Source organism: Homo sapiens, chromosome 2 (genome assembly GCF_000001405.40).
Source record: "Homo sapiens chromosome 2, GRCh38.p14 Primary Assembly".
NCBI classification, from domain to species: Eukaryota; Metazoa; Chordata; class Mammalia; order Primates; family Hominidae; genus Homo; species Homo sapiens.
The window spans coordinates 230,858,145-230,884,076 of NC_000002.12; the positions used below are offsets into that span (position 1 = coordinate 230,858,145).

General features: G+C 52.4%; 1 protein-coding gene across 5 annotated transcripts, besides 15 other annotated features; it reads left to right on the forward strand.

Moving 5' to 3' along the window:
* Nucleotides 3,746–4,356: an enhancer, noted in NCBI's record as "H3K27ac-H3K4me1 hESC enhancer chr2:231726605-231727215 (GRCh37/hg19 assembly coordinates)". NCBI's record gives its function as "activates a minimal SCP1, AML or CMV promoter by ChIP-STARR-seq in primed H9 embryonic stem cells {active_cell/tissue: H9 hESC(primed)}" and the evidence as "EXISTENCE:reporter gene assay evidence [ECO:0000049][PMID:30033119]".
* Nucleotides 5,482–6,140: an enhancer, noted in NCBI's record as "H3K4me1 hESC enhancer chr2:231728341-231728999 (GRCh37/hg19 assembly coordinates)". NCBI's record gives its function as "activates a minimal SCP1, AML or CMV promoter by ChIP-STARR-seq in naive H9 embryonic stem cells {active_cell/tissue: H9 hESC(naive)}" and the evidence as "EXISTENCE:reporter gene assay evidence [ECO:0000049][PMID:30033119]".
* On the forward strand, nt 6,041–21,110 carry ITM2C (integral membrane protein 2C). Of its 5 annotated transcripts, NM_001287241.2 has the most exons (7): nt 6,041–6,640; nt 6,806–7,001; nt 15,273–15,413; nt 17,476–17,664; nt 18,713–18,823; nt 19,256–19,406; nt 19,864–21,104. In NM_001287241.2, exons 2-7 carry the CDS (start codon nt 6,882–6,884, stop codon nt 19,953–19,955), a joined length of 804 nt encoding a protein of 267 aa, NP_001274170.1. In that variant the 5' UTR covers nt 6,041–6,640; nt 6,806–6,881; the 3' UTR covers nt 19,956–21,104. The 5 variants fall into 5 exon arrangements, with proteins under 5 accessions (NP_001274170.1, NP_001274169.1, NP_112188.1 ...); NM_001287240.2 differs by lacking the exon at nt 6,806–7,001; NM_030926.6 differs by lacking the exon at nt 6,041–6,640 and having other exon boundaries at nt 6,798–7,001.
* Nucleotides 6,548–6,917: a silencer, noted in NCBI's record as "silent region_12414". NCBI's record gives its function as "represses an Ori minimal core promoter by ATAC-STARR-seq in GM12878 lymphoblastoid cells {active_cell/tissue: GM12878}" and the evidence as "EXISTENCE:reporter gene assay evidence [ECO:0000049][PMID:35858748]".
* Nucleotides 6,548–7,457: a biological region, named in NCBI's record as "H3K27ac hESC enhancer GRCh37_chr2:231729658-231730316".
* Nucleotides 6,799–7,457: an enhancer, noted in NCBI's record as "H3K27ac hESC enhancer chr2:231729658-231730316 (GRCh37/hg19 assembly coordinates)". NCBI's record gives its function as "activates a minimal SCP1, AML or CMV promoter by ChIP-STARR-seq in naive H9 embryonic stem cells {active_cell/tissue: H9 hESC(naive)}" and the evidence as "EXISTENCE:reporter gene assay evidence [ECO:0000049][PMID:30033119]".
* Nucleotides 7,018–7,107: a silencer, noted in NCBI's record as "silent region_12415". NCBI's record gives its function as "represses an Ori minimal core promoter by ATAC-STARR-seq in GM12878 lymphoblastoid cells {active_cell/tissue: GM12878}" and the evidence as "EXISTENCE:reporter gene assay evidence [ECO:0000049][PMID:35858748]".
* Nucleotides 7,458–8,114: an enhancer, noted in NCBI's record as "H3K27ac-H3K4me1 hESC enhancer chr2:231730317-231730973 (GRCh37/hg19 assembly coordinates)". NCBI's record gives its function as "activates a minimal SCP1, AML or CMV promoter by ChIP-STARR-seq in primed H9 embryonic stem cells {active_cell/tissue: H9 hESC(primed)}" and the evidence as "EXISTENCE:reporter gene assay evidence [ECO:0000049][PMID:30033119]".
* Nucleotides 7,898–7,997: a silencer, noted in NCBI's record as "silent region_12416". NCBI's record gives its function as "represses an Ori minimal core promoter by ATAC-STARR-seq in GM12878 lymphoblastoid cells {active_cell/tissue: GM12878}" and the evidence as "EXISTENCE:reporter gene assay evidence [ECO:0000049][PMID:35858748]".
* Nucleotides 11,406–12,063: an enhancer, noted in NCBI's record as "H3K27ac-H3K4me1 hESC enhancer chr2:231734265-231734922 (GRCh37/hg19 assembly coordinates)". NCBI's record gives its function as "activates a minimal SCP1, AML or CMV promoter by ChIP-STARR-seq in naive H9 embryonic stem cells {active_cell/tissue: H9 hESC(naive)}" and the evidence as "EXISTENCE:reporter gene assay evidence [ECO:0000049][PMID:30033119]".
* Nucleotides 12,064–12,721: an enhancer, noted in NCBI's record as "NANOG-H3K27ac-H3K4me1 hESC enhancer chr2:231734923-231735580 (GRCh37/hg19 assembly coordinates)". NCBI's record gives its function as "activates a minimal SCP1, AML or CMV promoter by ChIP-STARR-seq in naive H9 embryonic stem cells {active_cell/tissue: H9 hESC(naive)}" and the evidence as "EXISTENCE:reporter gene assay evidence [ECO:0000049][PMID:30033119]".
* Nucleotides 14,647–15,186: an enhancer, noted in NCBI's record as "active region_17250". NCBI's record gives its function as "activates an Ori minimal core promoter by ATAC-STARR-seq in GM12878 lymphoblastoid cells {active_cell/tissue: GM12878}" and the evidence as "EXISTENCE:reporter gene assay evidence [ECO:0000049][PMID:35858748]".
* Nucleotides 15,387–15,706: an enhancer, noted in NCBI's record as "active region_17251". NCBI's record gives its function as "activates an Ori minimal core promoter by ATAC-STARR-seq in GM12878 lymphoblastoid cells {active_cell/tissue: GM12878}" and the evidence as "EXISTENCE:reporter gene assay evidence [ECO:0000049][PMID:35858748]".
* Nucleotides 16,067–16,136: a silencer, noted in NCBI's record as "silent region_12417". NCBI's record gives its function as "represses an Ori minimal core promoter by ATAC-STARR-seq in GM12878 lymphoblastoid cells {active_cell/tissue: GM12878}" and the evidence as "EXISTENCE:reporter gene assay evidence [ECO:0000049][PMID:35858748]".
* Nucleotides 19,654–20,428: an enhancer, noted in NCBI's record as "H3K4me1 hESC enhancer chr2:231742513-231743287 (GRCh37/hg19 assembly coordinates)". NCBI's record gives its function as "activates a minimal SCP1, AML or CMV promoter by ChIP-STARR-seq in naive H9 embryonic stem cells {active_cell/tissue: H9 hESC(naive)}" and the evidence as "EXISTENCE:reporter gene assay evidence [ECO:0000049][PMID:30033119]".
* Nucleotides 19,954–20,053: an enhancer, noted in NCBI's record as "active region_17252". NCBI's record gives its function as "activates an Ori minimal core promoter by ATAC-STARR-seq in GM12878 lymphoblastoid cells {active_cell/tissue: GM12878}" and the evidence as "EXISTENCE:reporter gene assay evidence [ECO:0000049][PMID:35858748]".
* Nucleotides 21,111–25,932: the final 4,822 nt, after the last annotated feature.

The window sequence follows — 25,932 nt, forward strand, 5'->3', positions numbered from 1 at the left end:
TAAAGAATACAAGGTCAGCTGGGTGCGGTGGCTCAAGCCTGTAATCCCAGCACTTTGGGAGGCCAAGGCGGGTGGATCTTGAGGTCAGGAGATCGAGACCATCCTGGCTAATATGGTGAAACCCCGTCTCTACTGAAACTACAAAAAATTAGCCAGGCATGGTGGCGGGTGCCTGTAGTCCCAGCTACTCGGGAGGCTGAGGCAGGAGAATGGCGTGAACCTGGGAGGCAGAGCTTGAAGTGAGCAGAGATCGCGCCACTGCACTCTAGCTTGGGCGACAGAGTGAGACTCCGTCTCAAATAAAAAAGAATACAAGGTCGATTTTCCAAATTCCATTGTATGTCTATACATTACCAATAAAGAATTATAAAACGAAACAAATAAATGCAATAGCATCAGAAACATAAAATACTTGGACATAAATTGAACAAAAGATGTTCAAGACCTCTATATTCTCTATACTAAAAAAAACACAACATTTGTGAGAGGAATTAAACAAATGGAGAAATATACCATGTTCATGGATTTGAAATCAAAATTGTTGAGATATCATTTTCCCCAAAATTGGTTTATAGATTTAACATAAGCCCAATTAATACCAACAGATTTTCTTTTGTAGAATTTGATAAACCAATTCAAATGGTTATTTGGGTATTCAAAGGATCTAGAAAAGCTCAACAGTCTCGAAAAAGTCAGAGTACTCATACTGTCTGATGTTAATACTTATTAGAAATCTAAAGTGATCAAGATAGTGTGAAATTGGCATAAGGATAGAAAAAAATAAACTAATGTAACAGAACAAAGAGTCTAGAAATAAATCCATTAAACGTTGTCAATTGGTCTTTGACAAAGATGCCAAAACAATTAAATGAGAAAAACAAAATTTCTTAAACAAATACTGCTGGGACACCTGTATAACCATATGGAAAAGAAATAAACCTCAATCCCTACCTCATACCTTACATTAAAAAATCAATTAAAAGTGGATCACAGACCTATATGTGAAACCTAAAACTATAAAGCTTCTGAAAGAAAGAATATGAGAATATCTTCAAAATTTGAACATGGGTGTTTAAAGAATTTTTAGACAGGACATTAAAAGCACTAACAATAAAATTAAAATTTATACATTGAGCTTGATCAAAATTATAAATTTCTACTCATGAAAAGACAAAATTTTAAAAGTGAAATACCACAGTCTGAAAGGAAATATTCACAATGAATATACATGACAAAAGACTTGTATCCACAATATAAAACGAATTCCTACAAATCAATAATTAAAAGACAGTCTAAATGACCAAAAGACTTAAGCAGACACTTCACAAAAGAAGATATACAAATGGCCAATACCACATAAAAAGATGTTCAGCATCATTAGTCATCAGAAAAATACAAATTAAAACCACAATAACATAAAATTTTACTAAATACAATTGCTAAAATTAAAATAACTGACAGCACCAAATATTGGTAAAGTTGTGGAGCAACTGAAACTCTCATACATTGCTGGTGGGAGTGTAAAATAGCACAGATATGTTGGCAGGGCTGTGCTGAAATGGGGAGAGAGTCATGTGAATGGTCTGTCCAGATCAGGCAATAAGGGAGTGCAATTTCTGCACAGAATTTAAAAATTATAATAAAACTAACTAAAAATTGATCTACTTTACATCATCACAATGCATTCGCATTTCTAAACAATGTCAGTGATAAAATATGTCTGTCTTGTAGGGTGGGCCATTTCTACCTCATCCTCACTGATGCTATTTACTCAAGAGAAATTAAAACAAAAATACATGTAAAGAAATGTCCATAGCAATTTTATGGTGGAAGACTGAAGGCAACCCAAATGTCCATGTCAGGAGAATGGATAAACAAGTTGTAGTGTATTTAAAAAATGGAATATTACTCAGCAAGTAAAAAGAACAAACTATTGTGGATGAACCTCATAAACATATTGAGTGAAACTAGACACAAAAGAATACATGTTGTACAGTATATGAAATTCAAGAACATGGCCAGGCATGGTGGCTAACACCTGTAATCCCAGCACTTTGGGAGGCCAAGGTGGGTGGATCACCTGGGGTCAGGAGTTCAAGACCAGCCTGACCAACATGGTGAAACCCTGTCTCTACTAAAAACCTCCTTTAAAAAAATGAGCCAGGTGTAGTGGCACACACCTGTAGTCTCAGCTACTCGGGAGACTGAGGCAGGAGAATTGCTTGAACCCAGGAGGCAGAGGTTGCAGTGAGCCAAGATGGTGCCACTGCACTCCAGCCTGGGTGACAGAACAAGACTCTGTCTCAAAAAAAAAAAACAAAAAAAGAAAGAAAGAAAGAAAAAGAAAAAGAAAATAAAATAAATTAAAGAACAGATAAAACTTAATCTATAGTGATGGAAACCAGAACAGTGGTTGCCAGTGGTGGTGGGGATTTACTGGAAAAGAATGGGAAGAAATTTTCTGGAATTATGGAAATGTTCTGTATCTTGATTGGTTTGTTGGATACATGAATATATATCTTTGTAAAATAGTTTTTCATTTTACCTAAAATTTTTTTTTAATTACCTTCAACACTTAGCTTTCAGCTAGCTCCTCAGTGGAAAAGAGGGGCCTCTGAAGGGGGCAGGTGGAGGTAGGGGAGGTGGAGCTGAAGATAGCTGCTGCTCTTGTCAGAAGAACAGGATCTCAAACTCACCCACTCCCTTACTCAGAGCATGTGATTGATGGAGCACACTTCTCCTTGAGAAGAACTCTGAGGACAATGGGCACACCCTTGTCTGAGCCCGTTACATTTCCAGAAAGCTAATCTACTGACCCTCTATGGATTTGTTACAACCATAAGTCTTACATAACCAGTGCTTTAAATTGTAATAAACTAGATATCTTTGCAAACAACATTCAACTTCTAAATTTTGAGAAACAGGCAAATACATGTAAAAGTTCTCATTTCTGATTTTATTTTAACTAGAGACGGGGATCTCGCTATGTTGCCCAGGTTGATCTTGAACTCCTGGGCTCAAGCAATCCGCCCACCTTGGCCTCCCAAAGTGCTAGGATTACAGGCAGGAGCCACCGTGCACAGCCTGAGATTTTATTTTCAAAGTGAACTGTTGCAGGATTGATTCCAACAGCCCTTCCCACTGGAGCCAATCACACCAGAGTTGATGAGGGAAGGGAAGAGTTAGTGGAGAGGCCTCAGCCAAGAGGCTCAAAATCAACGCAAGGAAGATGAGGACTGAAAAGCAGCTTGGAGATTTCAGCCAGGTGGAGGTGGAGGAATAGAAGCCAGATTGAGGTAGGATGAGTGTAGGGAGTGATAAGGAAATGGAGACTGAATTTTCAAGAGGTTTGGCTAAGAAGAAGAAAAGATAAACAGGGTATCAAGTGGAGGAGGACGTGGGGTCAAAGAAGGGGTTTGTTTTTGTTTTAAGGCTAATACGAGCATGTTTCAGAGCTGACAGGAAGAGCTGAAAGGTTAGGAGGCGGGGGCTGATGGATGTCTCAGGTGTCTGATAGGAGGGGAGGGGTGGAATCCTCATCTAGAGAGTGGCTGGAGAGAAAAGACAGACGCCTCTTCCGCGGCGAGTGGCAGGAGGAGCAGTGGGCAGAAGGGCAGCTGTGGATGGGGGCGGATGTGCTGGCAGGCAGGAGGGCGTTCTTATGTTGATAGACATAAGCCACCTAAAGCCATGGCTTCCAGATCCTCAGCAGCTGAGCTGCTGAGAGGTGTGCAGCAGTCTGGAGAGGGCAGGATGTGGCCGTTGAGAGTGTGGACAGAGTGACAGAGCAGCAGTTCCCAAACCCGAGTGTGCATCAGAATCACTAAGGGCTTGGTGGGCACAGAACACACCCTGAGTTTCGGAATAGACATAGAAAGGGTTTGCCTTCCTAACAAGTTCCCAGGTGCTGCTGGGGCTGCTGGCCGAGGTCCTTGCTTGGAGAATGACTGGTTAAAGAAGCCACAGCTGTCCCACCCTGCAGCTCCAAGGGGACCGCTTTGCATGGCTGCCACCATGCCCCTCCAAGAGGAGGTAGCATGCTGGTCCCAAGGGGCATGATGGTATCACTTTCACCAACAGAACTTAGCAGTCCCTGAGCAGAACCTGGAACCAGAAAGGGGGACAGGAGAAGCTCTGCCACTTGGGTAAGATGCAAGAACAGAACAAAGAGGATTCAGGTGCTGGCAGGAATGGCTGTTGGACTGAGCTGAGGGCTCCTGGCCCAGAGTCACTCTCCTCACTCCCAGTGCGGACTCTCATTTCCCTGTCACTTGTCCACACCCTGTGTCTTTCCAGTTCCCACCCAAATCTCCTGTCTTGCATGGAGCCTGGGCTGCACCACGACCGCATTCACCCTGCTGTCCTTCCCTGAGTCCACAAAACTCAGTATGCGACATGGACCTCCCGCAGCCTCCTGGCTCCCCTTGGATTATTGACTGGCTATACTGTACTCCATCAAATATAAGATGCTATCACTTGTGAAAGACATTACTTAATCACTGCCAATTATAATTGTAAAAGATATCTTGATTCTCAAGATGTTAAAATGTGAAGAAATGTGTTTCTTAGAATCCATGGAATATGGATTCTTGAGCATCTGAACAGGTGATCTGCAGAGCATGGTGCCCCCCAAGACCCATTCAGGGGGGTCTCCAAGGTCAAAACTATTTTTTGCAACAATATAAGTCATTATTTGCCCTTTTCACTCTCATTCTCTCATTAGCGTGCAGTGGGGTTTTCCAGAGACTACATGTGTGATGACATCGCTTTGATGCCCAATGGAATATATGTATTCTTGTGTCTTAAAACTTTCTGAGTTTTAGTTTCTAATATGGTAAATGTTGATAGACATAAGCCACCTAAACAAAAGCTCTTGGGGTCCTGAAACCAAAAAATTTAGGAATCACTGCACTAGGTTGTACGCCCAGCACTTGGCCGGCATTGAGTCCATGGTCAAGCGTAAGGAGAGGCCCGAGGGGGATGTGCACAGTGCTGAAGGTGCACAGGAAAGGGACTTATCCCAGCCGGTCTGGGAAGGCCTTCCAGGGGAAGTGGGGTGCTCGCCTGCCAATCTCAGGCATGTGGATGCTTCACCCAGGTGGCCCTGTCTTGCTGACCAGAGATTTGTGCCAAACCAGCTCTGCGACCCTGGGTTTAGTCATGCTACCTTCTATCACTATTAACATGAGGCTAATGTGTAGGTCACAGAGGCTGTGATGAAAATTAAATAATTGAATGCACGTGAAAGAATGCCACTCATAGAAGGTTTCACATGACCACATCCTTGGTGGCTGGGTTGTGTCTTGGGCATCTCTGTTTTCTGCCACAGAGCTTAACACAATGCTTGGCACACAGGGGTGCTTGGAAAACACTGAGTGAAGGAATGCATGTTGGGGGTGTGGCCTAAGCAAGACGTGGAGCTTGCCTTCTCCAGACACCAGGTTTCCCATGGGATCTGGAGCAGGTGATGAGCGGTAGTCCATAACACCTTCCTCTCTGGCTCTGTGCCAAACCAGATTCCTCCTCGTCTCCTCCAAACCATCTGTCTTCTTCCACCTCCCCATTCCCTCCCCCCAGTTCCCCAGGCTGGTGGCCTTAGCATCAGTTAGACTTTCTTCTTTCCCCACCTGTCTGTCCTCAAGGTTGCTAGGTTCATCCAAGATCTGAGCCAAGAGGTCCGGGTCTGGGACGTGGGCGCTAAGGGCCCAAGGCAGCTGCAAAAGACCTGAAAGGTGAGAAGAGAGATCAGTGGAGGACCCCGGACTGTCCTCAAGAAGCGGACGGACTCCCCTGCCCTCCACTGGCAGCCCAACAGCAGAACCAAAGCGGACCACTCAGCACAACCTGTGTGTGTTGCTGGGCGCTGTCCCTGGCCCAGTCTGGACCAGGAGCAAAGAGGAAAGATTCAGGGCGTTAGTGCCAAGAGCAGCCATCCCAGCAACAGAAGCCCCTGCTTCCCCAGTACCCGTGATACTTGGGAGGAGCAGAGTCTTGAGTGGAACCCGAGCCTCTGACACCCGCCCTGGGGGTCTTCCCTCCACTCTCGCCAGGGTCCTCCTGGATGAGTGAGACAAGGGCAGTTCAGGAGGTCACCCAATAACTGAGGTCGCAGCAACACGAAGGAGCCAGGGAGCAGGGGCGGCCTTCCCTTCTCCACTCCAGGCGGCTCCAGCGTGCACCCCAGGACCCCCCAGGAAGGTTTTGCAGGAATAAAGAATGAAGGCAGAAGCAAGATGGAGGATGAAGGAGGCGTGGATGGCTTCAGAAGGCAAGACGGAGGCAGCAGTTTGGCGCCTGTCTCAAAGCCTCCTCCCCGCGCCAAGGACAGGTCGGAGGAGGGGGGCGTGGGGACAGGTAGAGCGGAGGCTCCAGCGTTTCTAAAGGGGAAGACCTGAAGTGGGGCAGGAGAGACGGGTGAGTTGTCTGGAAGCTGCATTTGCCTGGCAAACACTGGGTTAACAAAGACTTGCGTTGCGGGGATGCTGGCCTTGGACAGGGAATGCGAAGGGATTATGCTACGGAGAACGGATCCGAGCGTGACGGCTGAATGAATGAGTGAGCGAGTGAGTGAGTGAGTGAGTGAGCGAGCGAGTGAGTGACTGTGCGAGCGAGCGGCAGAAGGAACTCCGACCCGCCCCAGGTGCGGAGCGGCGCGCCCGGCAGGGGTCACTGCGGGCCCCGCGGGCGGGAAGGGGGCGCAGGCGCGGCGGGCGCCGGGGCCCTCCCGCGGGGACGGGGCGGGGAGGGCTGGGGGTGGGGTTAGAGAGAGGGACGCGAGCGGGATCCAAACTTCCGGTGCCTGCAGAGCTCGGAGCGGCGGAGGCAGAGACCGAGGCTGCACCGGCAGAGGCTGCGGGGCGGACGCGCGGGCCGGCGCAGCCATGGTGAAGATTAGCTTCCAGCCCGCCGTGGCTGGCATCAAGGGCGACAAGGCTGACAAGGCGTCGGCGTCGGCCCCTGCGCCGGCCTCGGCCACCGAGATCCTGCTGACGCCGGCTAGGGTGAGAGGGTCTGGGGCTCAGGCGGTGGGGCGGGGGACCCAGGCTCACGACCCAGGCGCGCCCCGTCGGCCCTGGGGACTGCCCGAGGCGCGTCAGGGCCCCAGAGCCCGGGGTGGAGCAGGGTTGGGAAGTCTCGAATGGTTGCTTATCCCAGAATGAGGAGGGGGCTTAAGTCCCGTACTAAAGCGGCAGCCAAAAGCTGAAGTCCGAAGAGTGGGAGGCGTCTGGTTCTGGTCTTCAGGTGGAGAAGTGCTCGAGGTCTCTTCCAAAAGTGGGGGCCCCCTCGCCGCCTTATAGGGGGAGGGGGCTGGTCCGAAGAAGTTCGAGGAATGTTGGTGGGGGGGTACGCGTCTGGTTCCAATCAACTGGGAAAGCCGCGAGTCGAGTCCCCAGGTGGGGGATGGGAGGAGGGTTAGACGTAGTTTTTCCAAAGTAGGGCGGTGGGACCTGATTGGCTGGGGAATTGGGGGTGGGGGGGTCTGGTACCAACGAAGAGGGTGGGGCCGTTGATTTCCTCCGAAATTGGGGGCTGCGAGGGACAGAGGATGTGCTGCTGGCCTGCACCGGAATTGACAGACCAGAAAGTGATGAAATGGAAATCAGCCAGAACCGACGGCGCTGCGGCCTCTGGACGTCGGGGGTCCGAGGCCGGGTGCCCCCTTCCCACCCCACGCCCTGCCGTCTGGGCCTCCCTGCTCCCCTCTCTTTTCTCCATTCCCAGCCTCTCGCTGGGCTGTCCCCCGACCCCACGGGGAGGGCTCCCAACTGCCCCAGTGCCCTTGCATCCTGGGTCCCCGGGCTCTGTGCGCGTTCCCCCACCCCTGTCATCCCCCTCCCCTACCCCGGCTTCCTCCACTTTCCCTCTGGCCGGGGGGGAGAGAAGGCATTTCCGCCGTGGAAAACTGTCTGAGCTGCGTGCCTTGTGTCCGGGAAGGGCCCGCAGGGGGCAGAACGCGTGGCGGGCAGGGACAGGGAGGGAGGGAGAGCTGGCCCAGCCAGGTTTTATTGTGCCTGGCAAAGGTGTCTACGTGGGCGCCGCCCCCAGCGGTCTTGTGGCTTACCAAGCCCATGTCCTCCCCGCCTCCCCACCCCGCATTGAGGCAGGACTGAGAAAGTCTTTGTCCACTGCTTCCCCACTTCCAGATGCAGGCTTCTGAAGAGTCTTCCTGAACGCCTAGCCCCCTCCCCAGGTTTTGTGGCTCAGGTTCAGTCTTGCCTGGGGCATTAAGGGGCCTGCAGAGGATGACCTGGACCCTGGAGGAGGGGGCGCCGGAGAGGGCCGTCAGAGTTGGGTGTCAGCCTGGGCAGAGACCCTGAGTGAGGAATGCCAGGAGACTGAGAACCCCCTGCCCTTTTATGGTGGTCACTGCAGCAACCAGTGGCTCAGAGCCACAAGAGTTCAACAACCACCTAGGCGAGGTTGGGGGTTGCTGTGCACCCCATGAGAGCAGCTCCCCCCTTTTCATCTGAAGCTTAGGTGGAGGGGGCGCTCCATATTTGAAGAAGATGGTTCTGCAGCTTTAAAAGTTTGCAAGGGGTTCTTCAAGACTCCTTTTCTTTGGAAGGGAAGCTGCCCTCCACTCAGCCTGGGGAGGGGCAGGGATGGGGGCAGGAGGCAGCACGCTTGCCCATCTCTTTTCCTAGCCACCTCTTCCTGGAGATATTTGAGGAGGGAGGACCAGGTCAGACAGTGGGAGGGTGTTATTCCAACTCCATCAGAAGGTCCCCCAGATTTTGCAGGAGCGGCACATTCTCCAGCCGCAGCCTGCTGATGGCATGGGTTTGGGCAGTCTGACAGAGACCTGCATCTCGGGGCATAACTGACATCCTAGCTTCTGGCTTCTCATCAGGCTCTGAAATTGAGCGTCCTTTCTTCCCCCTCACCCAGCATGAAATGGAAATATCAACATCTTCCTGCGTGCTGTTTGTAATGGCCTTGAGCCTGCTGAGTACCTCCTCCCTCAAACTTTGTCAGTTGGGCAGGGTCCCCTCCCTCTCTAATTGGCAAGGGGGAGCTTAGGACTATGCGATCTGGGGAAAGAATTAGAATCCTGGCATCTTTAGGACAGAACTGCATGTTAGTAAACTTTCACAGCTTCCCAAGGCCCTGGCGTGGTGCAGAGGGACTTTAGGTGTTGCAAGTTGGCTCTGCCCATCACCTGCTAGATTTGGAGCCTTGGAAACAGTTCACTTCTGCGGGCCTCCTGTTGCCCCACTTGGCCAACCCGCACATTTCCTCCTTACCCAGTTTCTGGCAAGGAGCCAGGCCTCGTCTCCTGCCCCCAGCAGTGAGCAGGCAGGAGGCCCATTTCTCAGCTGTAGCTCTGTGAGCCGAGGGATGGCAGCCAGGAGGCTGCTTTCTCAGGGCAGGGCGTGTAGATTTTGTCCCGTACTGTTGGGAATGCCCAGGAAAGCTTATTAAAACGTTTCTTCTGGCTGGCAGTGACCCCAGAACCCTCCTTGGTGTCTGAACTGGACTCCAAAACAAGATTTATTTTATTTTATCTATTTTATTTTATTTTATTTTTTTTTTTGAGACAGAGTCTCACTTTTACCCAGGCTAGAGTTCCGTGGCACGATCTTGGCTCATTGCAACCTTCACTTCCAGGTTCAAGTGATTCTCCTGCCTCAGCCTCCCAAGTAGCTGGGAATAAAGGCACCTGCCACCATGCCCGGCTAATTTTTGTATTTTTAGTAGAGACAGGGTTTCACCATGTTGGCCAGACTGGTCTCAAATTCCTGACCTCAGGTGATCTTCCCACCTCAGCCTCCCAAATTGTTGGGATTACAGGTGTCAGCCACCACACCCGGCCCAAAACAAGATGTAAAAAGTGATCCGCAGGAGGAGCACTCGGTGAACAGATGATTGTGCGGTGAACAGATGATTGTGCGTTGGGGCAGTTCTTGACCTGTGTCCAGGCCCAGAGTGAGGGCGGGGTGGGGGCAGGGTGAGGCGGCAGGAGCACCCTCTCGGTGGGCACTGCCCCTGCTTCTGAGCAAAAACTGCAACACAAGGAGGATTTTGTCTGTGGACCTGAGACTGGAAGGAAGTGCCTCAGTGGGCCAGGGAGGGATGGGGGTGGGGGCCAGCTGGGCTTCCAGCTGCCCGGCCTCCCCCCCTGGTGTTTTGACTCTGAGATAATGAGGAGCTGGGACACTGCCAGCTTGGGAAGTGGGCTGGACCGGAAGCACCCCCTGGGACAGCAAAGCACTCCCTCCCAGCGCCAACTGGATCCCTCCTCCCCTTTGGGGGCCCACTGGCTGGCCATGCCCCTCTTAGCCTGCCCCTTCTCCCCACACCCTGCCTGTGCCTGCACTCACACACACACACACACACACTTATGCACACACATGCACGCACAGATGTGGGCATGTAGAGGCTCACGAGCTGGGGCTGTAAGGGGAGAAAAACAAGTTAAATACAATCATCTTCTTACCTCTGTAATTTTCTCCTTGGCATTTGCCTTTGATTAATGGTCCTGTGTCACCCCCTCCCCAGCCTGCATACCTGGGGATCAGATTTCAGTTTCCTAGTGTGTCCTGGTCTCAGGCCCTCGGCAGGAGGAGCTGGGTCTCCTGGAGCGGTTGGGGGAGGGTCCCGTGCCAGCCAGGAGGGCAAATCTGGCCAGCTTAGCCCTACCCCAGTGTCCTGATGCCCACTGGCCAAGAGGGCCTGGCCCGAAAGCACTTTGTGGAGCAGCGGCCCTGCTCCATCCAGGTCCTTCCCTGTGGCAGCGTGGGGACTTTCATGGCTGTCGTCCATTCCTGGGATTTGGCGCCCCGGCAGGCCCCACGGTGGCTTCTCTGCTTTCCTGCCGCTTCTCTCTCCATTCCCTCATTTCTGCTCTCTTCTCTCAGCAGTCCTTGCATGTTTCAAGACCGTCAGCAGATTGCCAGTGAGGATGAGTTTCTCTTAGTGTGGAGAAAAAATGTTTATGGTGAAATCACAGAGGCACAACCTGGCCAGCCCCTCTGTCCACCGCCCCACTCTCTCCAAGTTCCCTCTCCCCATGAGGGCTCTTCCAGCAGTGAGCTTTTGTTGTCTGGAGATGCCTTGACTATCAGGGATGGAAGAGAAGAGGGAATTCGCCTGGCCCAGCCAAGCCGAGAGCGCATCTGCACAGATGCTGCCCGTGGGGCCTGCAGTCTGGAAGGGAGGACAGGAGAGTGATGGGGACCCCTGACCCTGTTGGCAGATGGCATCTGTGCCTCTGGACCACTGGGCTCTGTGTGCTCAGGTGGACAGTGTTTGCCCACTCTCCTCTCCCCCAGCTAGGCTCTGTCTTGAACACATACAAGACACACACACTCGGTGGGTGCCCTGGCCTCTGTGGTCTGGAGCCTGGGAAAGAAAGCTGCTGAGGACCAGGAGAGATGTGGGGGAGGTGAGATGAGACTGCCTCCCCAACCCCCATCTTCCCTGTTCTCAGCCTGGGCCTCAGGAGTGCGTTTCTGGCTGCCGAACCCCTCCAGGCAGGCTGCAATCTGCAATCATCGTTAAATCGGCTTGCAGTTAATTTGGACATTGTTACTGGGGGATGGGGCCCGGGAGCGCTCCCTTCCAGCTGTGGGGGTCTGCCGAGTTAATGCTACAGTTGGCTGGTTTCCCCCTGACCATTTTGGCCCTGGCTTTGGTAAATCATTTAATGAGTGCCCCTGTGGGTCTCAGTTTAAGCCTGCAGGGAGAGGCCCAGGCCTCTCTCGGGTCCCTGGACTTCCGGCTCATGCGCCCTTCGCTCAGAGAGCTCTGTTGCCTTGGAAACAATATGCAATATTTTTCTACTATCTAAATGGGAGCCCCCCTCCTCAGATACCTCACTGTCAGTAACTGCTTCCTATGGGGAGCAACATTTTTCTGGGTCCCCAGCATGATAGGTGGTGCGGCTGGGGTCTCAGGAAGGTGGGCCATTCGGCCATCTTTCTAGTGAGCTGGGCACCAGGGATCCCAAGGGGCCAGGGCTCTGGGTTGAGCCCAGGCTCCCTGATGCCCCACTGTCCCCAGACAGGTGTAAATACCCCGAGATCACAGGCTGCTTTGAGGGCCAAAGGGACAGTGAGGGTTCCAGGGCTTTGGTGTTTGAGCCTTGGTGTTGATTGGGCACAGTAGGCAGAGGCAGCGCTGGGGCGGGATTTAGGAGTTCTGCCTCTGTGTGGGGCTTTATGGAGGAAATGCCTTCGCCTCCAAGCAGGGACATCTGCGCTTTCCTGTCTACTTTCTGGTAGCCTGTAATGCTGCCTTCTGCACTTCTGCTCATAATGGTGCCTCTGAGGGTTTGGCTCTGCAGGCTGGAGCGGAGCTGGGAGGGTGGCAGCGTGGCTGAGCCCGGGTGTGTGCTGGGGGACATCAGCAGGGCCATGAGAGAGAAGTGCCCACCCGCAGTCTAGGTAAGGTGGGGGATCCCCAGCCTTCACAGTGAGGGGTCTTGGCAGGAACCCCTGCCCTTCTCTGCCACACCTGCCACTGCTGCTCTTCAGCTGGGGCCGTGGAAGCCTCACCTTCTCCCTGCTCTGTCTTCTCTAACCTCCCTCGGTGGGGCCTCCGAGCCCAGCCCCTCCCCCAGGACAGGGAGACACGGGACCCAGCTCAAGTTCTGCAGACCAGCATTAAGGCGGAAAGGCGGAAAGGCGAGGCTGCCCTTTGCCATAAAGCTAGCAGGCCTCACCTTGTCGGTGAATTTGATTTGTGGAGCAGGCCCTCGGGCTCTCCCACGTAGCGCTTTGACTTTTTTTTTTTTCCCTTTTCTGTCTTTCTGGTTGTTAGCAATCTCACAAGCTAGTTTCCCTGGTTTTCCAGAATGCAGAAGCAAAAGTCTGGCCACAATGCAGCCTCAACAGCTGTCCACAGAGTCAGCCCTAAAAAGGAAAGGCTCGGCTGATAAAGATCTGCTATTTTTATCTAGCACTTGATCCTTTACAAAGGGCTTTTAGGTTCTTTGTCTCGTTTAATCCCAGCAAAACCCCTGTCACGCAGAGTCTGTCCACATTTTGCATGGGAGACCCGAGAAGGGGGAGGTTGCAGGGCCCCGCTGGGCCTGTAGCCCCACTTGACCCCTAAATACAATCTGAGCCCTGGTGTTTGTTGTGTCCCGAGGGCAGATTTCCCAGCTGCTGTAGGCAGCCTGGCCTGTGTCAGGGTCAGCCACCTTTCCTTAAGACCTGCTCAGGAGCGCCAGAGGGGCAGGAGGGCATCCCTGGTGCCTGGTTTGCAAGAGCTCCTGGGTGGTTCGATCCCTGGGAGATGCCAACGGAAGGTGTCACCCCCGTCTCTTGCTGCTCCCGGGAGTCCATTGGAAAACCAAAGCCATTTAGTCCCAACCCCCTGTGGCCAGCAGCTGTTCCTGAGGGCCCTGTGCACTGTGGCCATGCCCGTCACTTGCTGGTGACCTTGGTTAGTGCCCCTGGCTGCTGAGGAGATGACAGTGGGCAGGTGGTCCATATGATCACGGGACCCCTAAAGCAGGGCAAGGTGGGGAGAGGCCCCGGCCTCCTCATGGGCCAGGCAGTGCGGGCAGTGGTTTGACCTCCCACACCCACCCAGCAGGCTCCCTTGCGGGCAGACTTGAGTGTGAGGGTGCAGGACAGGCAGGGGCACCCCATGGTGAGGATGCTGGGGGCCTGCTGACCTGCTCACGCATGTCCGCAGTGAAGGGGGGGTCCTCCAGACATTTTCTGTCCTTTTCCTAAGCAGGGCGGGTCAGACCCTCAGCTCCCCAGGGCCCAGGCCCCACACTCCCCTGTGCTCTAAAAGGGTGGGAGGTGAAACCTGAGGAGCGAAGCAGGCGCCCCCAGGGCAGGACCCCTGTGCTGTGCTGAGAGATAGGGCCTGTCCTGAGTCACTTAGGCCTGAACCACCCCCCTCCAGGGGGAAGGGAGAAAGGAAATCTGTTCCCATCCCAGAACGCCTGGCCGGAAAGGGCCTGAGAGGTCACTTGGTCTGACCTGCTCATTTTGCAGATGGGGAAGCCGAGGCCCAGAAAGTGCTAAGCAGGCAGGTAGTGGCAGAGCCAGAATGAGAAGCTTCAGGCTCTGGGGCTGGATCCCCTCCTCTCCCCAATACTGCGGCAGTCCGCAGGGACTGACCTCTAACCTCACTCTTGGCCGTATGTGGACACCACGGAGGAAGGATTAAATGGTGAACATTGGAGGCAGAGACTGGCCCCGGGGCTTTTGCATTATCTCCAAGGGTGAGCAAGGGCCCGGGGGAAGGCATAGGAGGTAGGGAGGAGAAGAGACAGGAAATTGACCAAGCTCACCTGGCTGGCTCTCGTCAGTGCTCTGGGTAAAGCAGTTTTGTTGAATTTTATACTCACACACCTACGTCCACCACCCCACACATGTGTGGCCTGGAGATGGGTTAGGTTGGCTTCTTGGCAGCCCTGCAGCTATGATCTTGAGCCCAATTCTGGCTCCCAGAGCAGATTTTTCCAGGATCCTTCTAGCCTGGCCTTCCGGACAGCCACATTTCTCTCCTGGCAGGAGCTCCCTGGTGGATGGAAGCTTCCGGGCTTCATCCTGTAGCTGTTACACCACTTGTAACAGCCTGCTTGACTGCCGGTCGGTGCCTGTGGGGGGCCAGTGTGGATCACAGGCCTAGAGCTCCCTGGCTGGGGACAAGCACCCATGCCCAGACCCCATGGGGCTCCTGGAGCCCCTGCCCCCATCAGTCACAGCCTCCTTGGTGGAGTTGAGCAGCCTTTACACAGCCTGCCCACCTCCTATTGTCCTCATTTTAGTCTACCCTCTGCACCTTGGTTTTAGAGTGGATCTTGTCACTCCCCAGCTCAAAAGCCTTCCCGGGCTCCCCATCGTCCAGAGCAGCAGCTCCCAGCCTGCCTGGTGTGTCTCAATTCCTACAGAGATTTCTAAGTCCCTAAAGTCACCGAGGCCAGGTCGGCACATCCCCTATCTTCTGTTTGAAAGAATATACCACGGTCACGGCTGGTATAAGCAAGAGGCCTAAGAGCTCAGATAACTCAAAATGCACCTGCTGAACCCACTGCATCTCTTTCGGTGGCTTCCAGGTGTGTCTTGGTTTCTCTTTCGAGGTGTGTCTCCTTTTCTCTTTCGAGGTTTGTCTCGGTTTCTCTTTAGCCAGGACGAGTCCGGGTGACCCTGGTGGGCCTTCCTTTCCCTTCTAGGTGTCATCTCCTTCCCTCCCTTTCCCCCAAGACTCCCTCCGGGCCCAGCCAGCAGGTGAAGCCTGACTTAGGGAAGGGGGGATTTCCAGGGGAGGGGCCCTGGCCCCCACTGACCCAGCATTGCTATCCACAGGAGGAGCAGCCCCCACAACATCGATCCAAGAGGGGGGGCTCAGTGGGCGGCGTGTGCTACCTGTCGATGGGCATGGTCGTGCTGCTCATGGGCCTCGTGTTCGCCTCTGTCTACATCTACAGATACTTCTTCCTTGCGCAGGTGAGGGGCCGGGCCAGGTAGGGGCAAGGCCTCGAGAAAGGGTCATGTCTAGAGAGGCATGGAGGGAAGTGTCTGCAAGGGGGCAGCAGGAAGCCCCAGACATGCCCTCAGGTGGGAGCGAGTGCCCGGCCAGCCCACAAGACTGGGGTGCCCCCTCCTCCTTGGGGCCTCCTTGGATGCAGGCCAGTCCCACATTTAGCCCCTTGTCCTGGGGAGCCAAGCATGAATCCGGGTGACAGCACTGGGCCCGCCCCACAGGGTCACCCTGGGGAATTCTCACCAGAAACTCAGATCTGGCAGAAACTGGAACTGTGATCCCCCTCCACAGCTCAGACCCTGCACCTGCAGGTCACGCTTTAAGGCTGACCTAACTGTGCTTGTGCATGGACATTTGGGTTACCAAACAAGAGAGGGAGAGGGGTGGGTACAGAGAGTCTCCACCACCTCCTTCCAGAAGCAGGAGTGTGTCCTTGCTGCCAACTATCATCCCCCTCCCCGGGGGACCTGGGCACAAAGCTGGGCCAACCCAGACCTGGGAGGGAGGGAGTGTCGCTGTGTGCTTGGAAATGAAAGTAGGTAAATTAAAAGGATAAACCTACGTACAACTCACAGAGAACCTCAGGGTGACAAAGAGGTGGGACTTGCCAGTCATTTATGACCCAAGTGACCTCCCACTCCTAAGCGTTTAACTTTGTTGTCCCCCAGTTTTTCCACGATGGAAATTGCTGAAGAGTTTGCATTCACGGGGCTTTCCCCTTGAAAGCTCAGCTCACATACACCCATCACCTTCCTTTCTGTGCAGCATCCCCCTGCCCCGCCCCACTCCCTCCATGGCCTGCGTCCCCCTCGTTCCAGGGTCCTGTGTGGGACCTTCCCACAGGCCTCTTCCTGTTGTGGCCCTACCCTAGGACCTGGGCCAGCATTTCCTGGTCCCCTCTGTTCCACCCTCGACTCACACCCTTCTCCCCACACCCCAATTCGTTGTGTGGACACCTCCCAGCAGCCCCTGGGTCTGTGCCCTGGGACAGTATTCGGGGTGTCCAGCCACTGTGGGATGCAGCCCCGGAGCCTCACCTTCCCTGGGCTCTCATCCCCGCACAGCCCACAGGAGCCCCCCATGCTGCGATGACGCATCCTCCCTGGAGAACTTGCACTGAATCAAACAGACGGTGGAATCCTGCCGATCCCAGGCCAGGCAGTCCCAAGCATGTATCTACAGGCCCCTCCAGGAGCCCCCTCCAGAAGTAAGAGTGGGCAGACTGGCCCGCCCGGCCATTCAGTTGATGGGATCACACCAGGCTGCCTGGCCTCCCTTACTGATGGAGTGACTGGACTGGCCCACCAGACACAGTGTCTGTCAAGGTTTCTCCAAGACAGGGGTCAGGGATATCCAGGAAGGGCGATGGCACTTGTCCGAGGCTGGATGTGGAGGTAACCGTGATAGGGGCACAAGACTCTTAACAGTGTTGCCTCCAGCTCCACCTCCCCACCCGCCGTGTTAGGCCCCTCCAGGTCTGCAGGCCAGGACAGCAGGTGACAGGAAAGGCAGTCGTGCACAGGCGTAGGTGCCCAACTCTTAGGTTCGTCCTTGACCCCCTGCCAACCCCAGGCTCTTTCTCTGGTGTCTGCACCTCTGTGGAGGGCACGGAGGTGGCCAGGTCCTAGTCCTGCTGGGCCACCCCTTTTCCCAGTCACCGACTCAAGGACTTGGAGGCCAGAAGGGACCTTAGGGATCATCATGCTTTACTGATGGGGAAACTGAGGCCCAGAGAGGTCTGCCACCTAGAACCTGGCAGACCCAGCTCATCCTCCCTTCCGTTTGTGAAGCTGGGAAGCGCCTTGCCCAAGAATCAGCTCATCTCCTCACTGGCAGCCCCAGACCCTGACCTGATGCCCCACCGTCTCAGTTTCTCCATCTGCGAAATGGGTCTCACAGTCCCTGCTCTTCTTGCTTCCGCAGGCTTTTGGGGCATGTAGCGGACGGGTAGGCAAGAGGGGGCCTTACGGAGTGCGTGTATGACCAGCCTCTCTGACTGTCTGTCTGTCTCTCCGCCTTGCTCAGCTGGCCCGAGATAACTTCTTCCGCTGTGGTGTGCTGTATGAGGACTCCCTGTCCTCCCAGGTCCGGACTCAGATGGAGCTGGAAGAGGATGTGAAAATCTACCTCGACGAGAACTACGAGCGCATCAACGTGCCTGTGCCCCAGTTTGGCGGCGGTGACCCTGCAGACATCATCCATGACTTCCAGCGGGTGAGGCTGGCCAGGGCCTGGGGGTGGGGGGTGGGAGGGTGTCCCGGGGACTCAGGGCAAGGGGAGCAGGGATGAAAGGAGACTCCTCGGAGTACAGCAGGTGTCTACGGTTAGGCTTACCAGGGTCTTCAAGACACTGCTTTTCTCCTGTTAGCAACAATGGTTCTTGCTGAGTATGAAGCAGCCGAGGCTGATTTTCTCCTCAGCCTCCTGCCAGCTGCACGCTGGCTGTCATGGCAGGGCCAGTGCGTTGTATCGAGGGGTAGTACATTCACCATCGAGTGCATTGCGTGTACAGCTCAGCGGGTCTCTGCAGAGTGGGTCTCATGCGTATTCATGTAACCCCCATGGGTCCTGAGACAGGGCATCTCTCGCTGGGGTCCAGGCTGTCCCAGGAATGGCTGGCCCTCACAGGTTTCATAAATGCACAGCTGGGATGTTACCATGTTCCCCAAACCTCAGCTCTGTAAACATGAGAAGAAGCTTTATAACAACAGAGGCGTTTAGCAATCAGCTGCTATTTTCCTCTATCATGTGGCACCTTCTACAACAGGCTAAGAGAAGACCAGGAAAAGGGAGTGCCCGCCCAGGTATTGAGGAGTCTGGAGAGGACTCTGCTCCTGAAGGCCCAGGGTCCCAGGAAGGCATGGTGGGACTCCTGCCCCTGCTGGCCAAGCTGCTTTTTTTTTTGGAGACAGAGTCTCGCTCTGTCGCCCAGGCTGGAGTGCAGTGGCACGATCTCGGCTCACTGCAAGCTCCGCCTCCTGGGTTCACACCATTCTCCCGCCTCAGCCCCCCGAGTAGCTGGGACTACAGGTGCCCACCACCACGCCTGGCAAATTTTTTGTATTTTTAGTAGAGACGGGGTTTCACCATGTTAGTCAGGATGGTCTCGATCTCCTGACCTTTGATCCGCCCGCCTCAGCCTCCCAAAGTGCTGGGATTACAGGCATGAGCCACCGCGCCTGGCTGGCCAAAGCTTCTTGCAGCCCTGCCTGGGTCAGCTGTCACCTCCTGCAGAGACTGACCCAACCCCTTCTCCTGCCAGGGTCTGACTGCGTACCATGATATCTCCCTGGACAAGTGCTATGTCATCGAACTCAACACCACCATTGTGCTGCCCCCTCGCAACTTCTGGGAGCTCCTCATGAACGTGAAGGTGCGCAGGGGGTTGGGGGGATGTCTGCAGCATCCTGTCCCTCCCTTGCCCCCTGTCTCATGGAGGCTAGGTCTGAGGTACAGGAAGTTCCTGTGTCAGGGGTTGGGGGAGCAAGAGACATTGCTGGCACCTGGGCCCTGTACCCAGATTGGTCTCGCCTCTGCTATCCCCCTGCTTCCACATCTCCAGAGTCAATGCCCCGAGACCGGCTTCCTTAGTGTTCAAGGTTGTACCCTGGGTACGGACTCGTGCGCATGCCATTGCTCCTGGCAGCACAGGTGCAGGCACCGGGCACAGGCAGGAAGTGCCTGAGGACATCAGAAGGGCCAGCCCAGGGGCCTCTGGAGGAGGGAGGTGGGCTGGCATTTCGGGCGAGGGGTTGGACGAAAGCCTGAGGGGCCGACTCACTGTGGCGGCCACCTTGTTTTGCAGAGGGGGACCTACCTGCCGCAGACGTACATCATCCAGGAGGAGATGGTGGTCACGGAGCATGTCAGTGACAAGGAGGCCCTGGGGTCCTTCATCTACCACCTGTGCAACGGGAAAGACACCTACCGGCTCCGGCGCCGGGCAACGCGGAGGCGTGAGTGGCTGGCTTCACCCACAGTAGCCCCTGTCCCGTGCCCCAGACCACAGTTATCTTCACGCCTAGCCCAGCTGTCAGAGAGCTCAGATAGCAGCAGCAATAACAGCTAGCATTAGCAGAGCACTTCCGTGTGCCGGGCAATGCTGTGTGCTCTTTATGACCTCTTAAGAGTGTAAGTCATTCTCATCCTCATTATTATTTTTGCTGCCCATTTTAAAGATGAGGAAACAGGTGCAGAGAGGTTAACACCCTGGAGGTCACACAGCAGGGAGGTGGCAGACATGGGCAGGCTGACTCCAGCTTTCGAGCTCTCCCCATTTCTCACTGTGCTCTTTGGGTGAATCTGGGTGAATGGTGTCACTTCCTGGCCCTCCTGTGGCTCAGGCTGAGGCTGGTGGTCTTTGTGACTCAGCCAGGATGCAGGGCTCACTGGGGTTTTTCTTTTTCCTCCCAGGGATCAACAAGCGTGGGGCCAAGAACTGCAATGCCATCCGCCACTTCGAGAACACCTTCGTGGTGGAGACGCTCATCTGCGGGGTGGTGTGAGGCCCTCCTCCCCCAGAACCCCCTGCCGTGTTCCTCTTTTCTTCTTTCCGGCTGCTCTCTGGCCCTCCTCCTTCCCCCTGCTTAGCTTGTACTTTGGACGCGTTTCTATAGAGGTGACATGTCTCTCCATTCCTCTCCAACCCTGCCCACCTCCCTGTACCAGAGCTGTGATCTCTCGGTGGGGGGCCCATCTCTGCTGACCTGGGTGTGGCGGAGGGAGAGGCGATGCTGCAAAGTGTTTTCTGTGTCCCACTGTCTTGAAGCTGGGCCTGCCAAAGCCTGGGCCCACAGCTGCACCGGCAGCCCAAGGGGAAGGACCGGTTGGGGGAGCCGGGCATGTGAGGCCCTGGGCAAGGGGATGGGGCTGTGGGGGCGGGGCGGCATGGGCTTCAGAAGTATCTGCACAATTAGAAAAGTCCTCAGAAGCTTTTTCTTGGAGGGTACACTTTCTTCACTGTCCCTATTCCTAGACCTGGGGCTTGAGCTGAGGATGGGACGATGTGCCCAGGGAGGGACCCACCAGAGCACAAGAGAAGGTGGCTACCTGGGGGTGTCCCAGGGACTCTGTCAGTGCCTTCAGCCCACCAGCAGGAGCTTGGAGTTTGGGGAGTGGGGATGAGTCCGTCAAGCACAACTGTTCTCTGAGTGGAACCAAAGAAGCAAGGAGCTAGGACCCCCAGTCCTGCCCCCCAGGAGCACAAGCAGGGTCCCCTCAGTCAAGGCAGTGGGATGGGCGGCTGAGGAACGGGGCAGGCAAGGTCACTGCTCAGTCACGTCCACGGGGGACGAGCCGTGGGTTCTGCTGAGTAGGTGGAGCTCATTGCTTTCTCCAAGCTTGGAACTGTTTTGAAAGATAACACAGAGGGAAAGGGAGAGCCACCTGGTACTTGTCCACCCTGCCTCCTCTGTTCTGAAATTCCATCCCCCTCAGCTTAGGGGAATGCACCTTTTTCCCTTTCCTTCTCACTTTTGCATGTTTTTACTGATCATTCGATATGCTAACCGTTCTCAGCCCTGAGCCTTGGAGAGGAGGGCTGTAACGCCTTCAGTCAGTCTCTGGGGATGAAACTCTTAAATGCTTTGTATATTTTCTCAATTAGATCTCTTTTCAGAAGTGTCTATAGAACAATAAAAATCTTTTACTTCTGACCTTGACTTGAGTGTGGCTGGAGGGGAGATGGGTGTAGGAGGGGTGCTCCGGGCAGGGTCGAGGAGCTGGACCTCGGGAGCAGCAGGCAGGGAGAAGCCTGCAGACCTTGACATCTGGCCCCTAAAGAGCTGGGCATCCTGGATTCAGCCAAGGAGTGTAGGATATCCCCTTCGTAGCACCCTGGATCTGAGCCAGGTAGAGTTCACACTTTCCGGGTGAGGAGGGGAACAGGGCTGGGAGAGCTTACCGACTCGCCCAAGGTCGTGCTGCTTTAAGTGCCTGTAAACCACCCTGTAATGTTCTACCTGGCAGATGACATCATTATTGCATGTCCTTAAGCACAAGGGCGGTGTCCTATTCTCCACCACGTCTGGACAATTTGTAACCATTCCTGGAGGATCTGAAGTGAGGTTTGGTGTGATAATCACAGGGTCACATTCTCCAGAGAATTCTGGAAGCGGCAGGAGAGCTGGCCAGAGCCATGTCTAGGTGGACCCCAGAGGTGGGACCTATATCCTGCCCTGGGGACCAGGATGGGTGCCCACCTGCTTGGTGCTGTTAAGCCTCAGTACCCAGTGAGGGCCATAAAATACTCAAATTAGTGCAGACACACCTTGTTCCCAGATCCAAAGGCAATCATGCAAAGACATCAGTTTTTTTTTTTTTCACATTTGCTGATTGAAATGCATTGCAATCACAATTAAAATGCCAACTGAATTTATTTTTTAACTTGACACAAATAATTCTTTCAGGAAAGTAAACAGGGAATAGTCAGGTAGATCCTATAAACGGTAAAGAACTCCCAAAGTGCTGGGATTACAGGCTGAGCCACCGCGCACCTGCCCAAGAGATATGTTTTTACAGGTCAAGTTAGGGTTGAATGTTTGTGAAGCATTTTTTTTTTTTGAGACGGAGTTTCGCTCTTGTCGCCCAGGCTCCGATATAAAGCGTTATACACCACAATAATTAAGGAGTTCAGTGTAGCAAAGACAGAGCCCAGTGCAACCCAACAGAGGCCCAGACATTGACTTAAATTACACGGAAATTTAATATATGATTATGGCGGCATTTCCAGTTAGTGGGAGACATGTGGGTTTGCCTTTTTTTTGTTGTTGGTTTTTTTTTTCTTCTTTTTTTGAGATGGAGTCTTGCTCCTGTCACCCAGGCTGGAGTACAGTGGGGCGATGTTGTCTCACTGCAATCTCCCCCTCCCGGGTTCAAGCAATTTTCCTGCCTCAGCCTCCCGAGCAGCTGGGATTACAGGCGTGTGCCACCACACCTGGCTAATTTTTGTATTTTTAGTAGAGACGGAGTTTCACCGTGTTGGCCAGGTTGGTCTCAAACTCCTGACCTCAGGTGATCCTCCCGCCTCAGCCTCCCAGAGTGCTGGGATTACAGGTGTGAGCCATTGCGCCTGGCCCATGTGGGTTATTTTTAATGGAACAGCGGGCTAGCCATTTTGACAAAAAATTAACCTGGATTCTACTTCCCTAGAACAACATTAATGCTGGATGGATCAGAGATTTTAATTATGAAATGAAACTATGAAAGTACTTGAAGAGATTATTTAAAAGGTAATCTTGGAGGAGGAAAGGCCTTTCTAAGCATGATATCTACCAGGAAAAAATTGGTTACGAAAAGTTAGAATTTATATACAGCAATGTATACCACAAAGCCAAGAGGTTTATAAGCAGTAAACGGAAATGTCTTTTCAAACACAGGCATAAAAAGGGCTATTTTTTTTTAATATGCAAAGTTCTTATAAACCATTGTGAAAAAGGAACAACCCAATAGAGAAATGAGCAAATAATATAAACAGTTCTAGAAATCAAAACTAGGGAGATACTTTATTTTATTTTATTTTATTTTATTTTTGAGATGGAGTCTCGCTTTGTCACCCAGGCTGGAGTGCAGTGGCACCATCTCGGCTCACTGCATCCTCCACCTCTTGGGTTCAAGTGATTCTTGTGCCTCAGCTTCCCGAGTAGCTGGGAGTACAGGCGCACACCACCATGCCGGCTAATTTTTGTATTTTCAGTAGAGATGGGGTTTCACCATGTTGCCCAGGCCAGTCTCAAACTCCTGACCTCAGGTGATCCAGCTGCGTCAGCCTCCCAAAGTGCTGGGATTACAGGCGTGAGCCACCGCGCACCTGCCCAAGAGATATGTTTTTACAGGTCAAGTTAGGGTTGGATGTTTGTGAAGCATTTTTTTTTTCGAGACGGAGTTTCGCTCTTGCCGCCCAGGCTGGAGTGCAATGGTGCGATCCCGGCCCACCGCAACCTCTGCCTCCCAAGTTCAAGCGATTCTCCCACCTCAGCCTCCCGAGCAGCTGGGACTACAGGCATGTGTCACCATGCCCAGCTAATTTTTGCATTTTTAGTAGAGACGGGGTTTCTCCATGTTGGTCAGGCTGGTCTCGAACTCCCAACCTCAGGTAATTCTCCCACCTCAGCCTCCCAAAGTACTGGGATTACAGGCGTGAGCCACTGTGCCCGGCCATGAAGCATGTACTGTATACAAAACACTACGTGTAAGTCAGTGTGTAAGTTATAAAATGTATTAATCAACGTATCTCTGGAAACCCACCAGCCAACTTATGAAACAAAAGACTACCAAATACCACTGAGAGTCTCTGCATGCTCTTCTCCTCTTCCTGTTGCATAACAAACCATCCCAAAACTTAGTGGCCTGACACAGTGGTTTATTATTTTTCCCGAGTCTGTGAGTTGCCTGAGTTCAGCTGGATGACCGAGGGGTCCCCGTGGGATAACCGCACCCTCTGCTGTATGTTCATCTGGGAGCTCAGCTGCGGTCCAAGCAACCAAGATGGCCTCTCACCCTCCAAGGGCCTCGCTCCACGTGGCCTCTAACCATTAATGGTCTAGCCCAGCCCTCCTTACAGCTTGTCAATTGAGCTCCAAAAGAGGGGAAGCAGAGGCTGACCATCCTTTAAGACCTGGCACCACAAATCCCAGAATGTTACTTCATTGCATTCTGTTGGTCAAAGCAAGTCACAAAACCAGTTCCGATTCAAGGGGAGGGAAAGACCCTGCAGATGGGGAGCAGCTTGCATGCTCAGGGATGCCAAGAACTGTTGGAAACTCAGACATCATCCGAGCACTCCCCGCCATCCCTCTCCCCTCAGTATTTCATGGGGGACATTAAATGCCTGAATTAGTGCAAAGACACACCTATTCTTAGAACCAAAGACAATCTTGAAAATATGTCAATTTTCCATAAATTAGCCAATCTTAAACTCTACTAATTAGCCAATCCAGGTAATTCCTATCTTGGGTTTCTCTGTTCTGCTTTCTAATTGTACCATATATCCAAGAATCCCTGAGGAAGTTTTGCTTGGATCTGAACACTGTGAAAGTGGTAACAAAATACACATATTATTCTCTGACTTGCTTCCCCACCCTCCAAACCTTTTAAGCCGTGTCCATGTTGAAGCCTATGGTAATATTTCATTCATTTTTACTGTTGTATATTAGTTCATTGTATGAATATACAGCTTAATACCTATGAAACAATGACTAACCATGGCTCTTTGGATTTTTTTCTGATTTTTTTTTTTTTTTTTTACTATCAGAACGCTTTCATGAACATTTCTTTGATGGGGTTCCTGGGGCACCTCAGCACTGGGTCACACAGTGTGCAAATATTCAACTCATAAAATTCTAGCAGATTGTTTTTTGTAAGACATTGAACCAATTTACACTTCCAGCTGCACCGCATAGACATTCTACTCGTTCCACATCCTTGTCAACACTTCATGTTAGCAATACGTTTTTTGCCAATGGATAGGAAATAAAATGGTATTTCATTATGGTTTTAGTTGTGTCTCCTCGATTACTAGAAAAGTGGGGCCGGTTTCACATGTTTATTGAACCCTCAAATTTCCTTTCCTGTAAAATGCCGACTTGCTTTCTTTGGCCTATTTTTCTATTGGTTGCTTTGTTTTCTTACTAATTTGTAGGAGTTATTTATATATTTATACATTTTATATTTTACATATTTTCATTGATGGGTGGTAAGTATCTTACCCAAGTTAGTTCATGGCTTGCCTTCTCACCTTTTTTTTTTTTTTACAAACAGCATCACGTGTACATAGCTTTCTCACTTTCTTTGTGGTCACTTTGATGAACAGAAATTATTGATTTTAATGCAGTCAAATTTATTCATCTTTTTCCTTGTGGTTAGGGCCTTTTATATCATTTCAGAAATCTTTCCCATCCTAAGGTTGAAGAGGCATTATTCTACAATTTCTTCTATTCATTTTAGAGTTTTGTATTTTACATTTTTGAATCCCCAGGAATTTAATCCCTGGTCTGATGTGAGGTAGGAATAACGATTTGTTCTGTTTTTGTTTTTCCTTCCCCACTGAGTTACAGTATATGTCTGCAAGGATCAAGTTTCTCTATATGTAAGGTCTACTTCTGGGCTTTCTGTTTTGTTCATCAGGTCTATCCGTTGGACCATAACCACACTTAAAGTAAGTCTTGCTACCTGGTACTAAAAGTTTCCTACCTTGATTCTCTCCAGCAGTGCCATGCCTATTCTTGGCCCTTTTTGTTCATATGCATTTTAGAAACAACTGCCAAGTTTCATGGAAAATTCTGTTGAGGTTCTTTTTTTTTTTTTTTTTTTTTGTGACGGAGTCTCGCTCTGTCACTCATGCTGGAGTGCAGTGGCGTGATCTCTGCTCACTGCAAGCTCCGCCTCCCAGGTTCACGCCATTCTCCTGTGTCAGCCTCCCAAGTAGCTGAGACTACAGGCACCTGCCACCGTGCTCAGTTAATTTTTTGTATTTTTAGTAGGGAT

What these genes read in the sequence shown, in the direction of transcription:
- ITM2C (NM_001287241.2), top strand. Translation starts at nt 6,882, where the DNA reads ATGGTGAAGATTAGCTTCCAGCCCGCCGTGGCTGGCATCAAGGGCGAC. An exon ending in TCCTGCTGACGCCGGCTAGG is followed by an intron (nt 7,002 to 15,272) that starts GTGAGAGGGTCT and finishes TGCTATCCACAG; the next exon opens with GAGGAGCAGCCCCCACAACA. An exon ending in TCATCCATGACTTCCAGCGG is followed by an intron (nt 17,665 to 18,712) that starts GTGAGGCTGGCC and finishes TTCTCCTGCCAG; the next exon opens with GGTCTGACTGCGTACCATGA.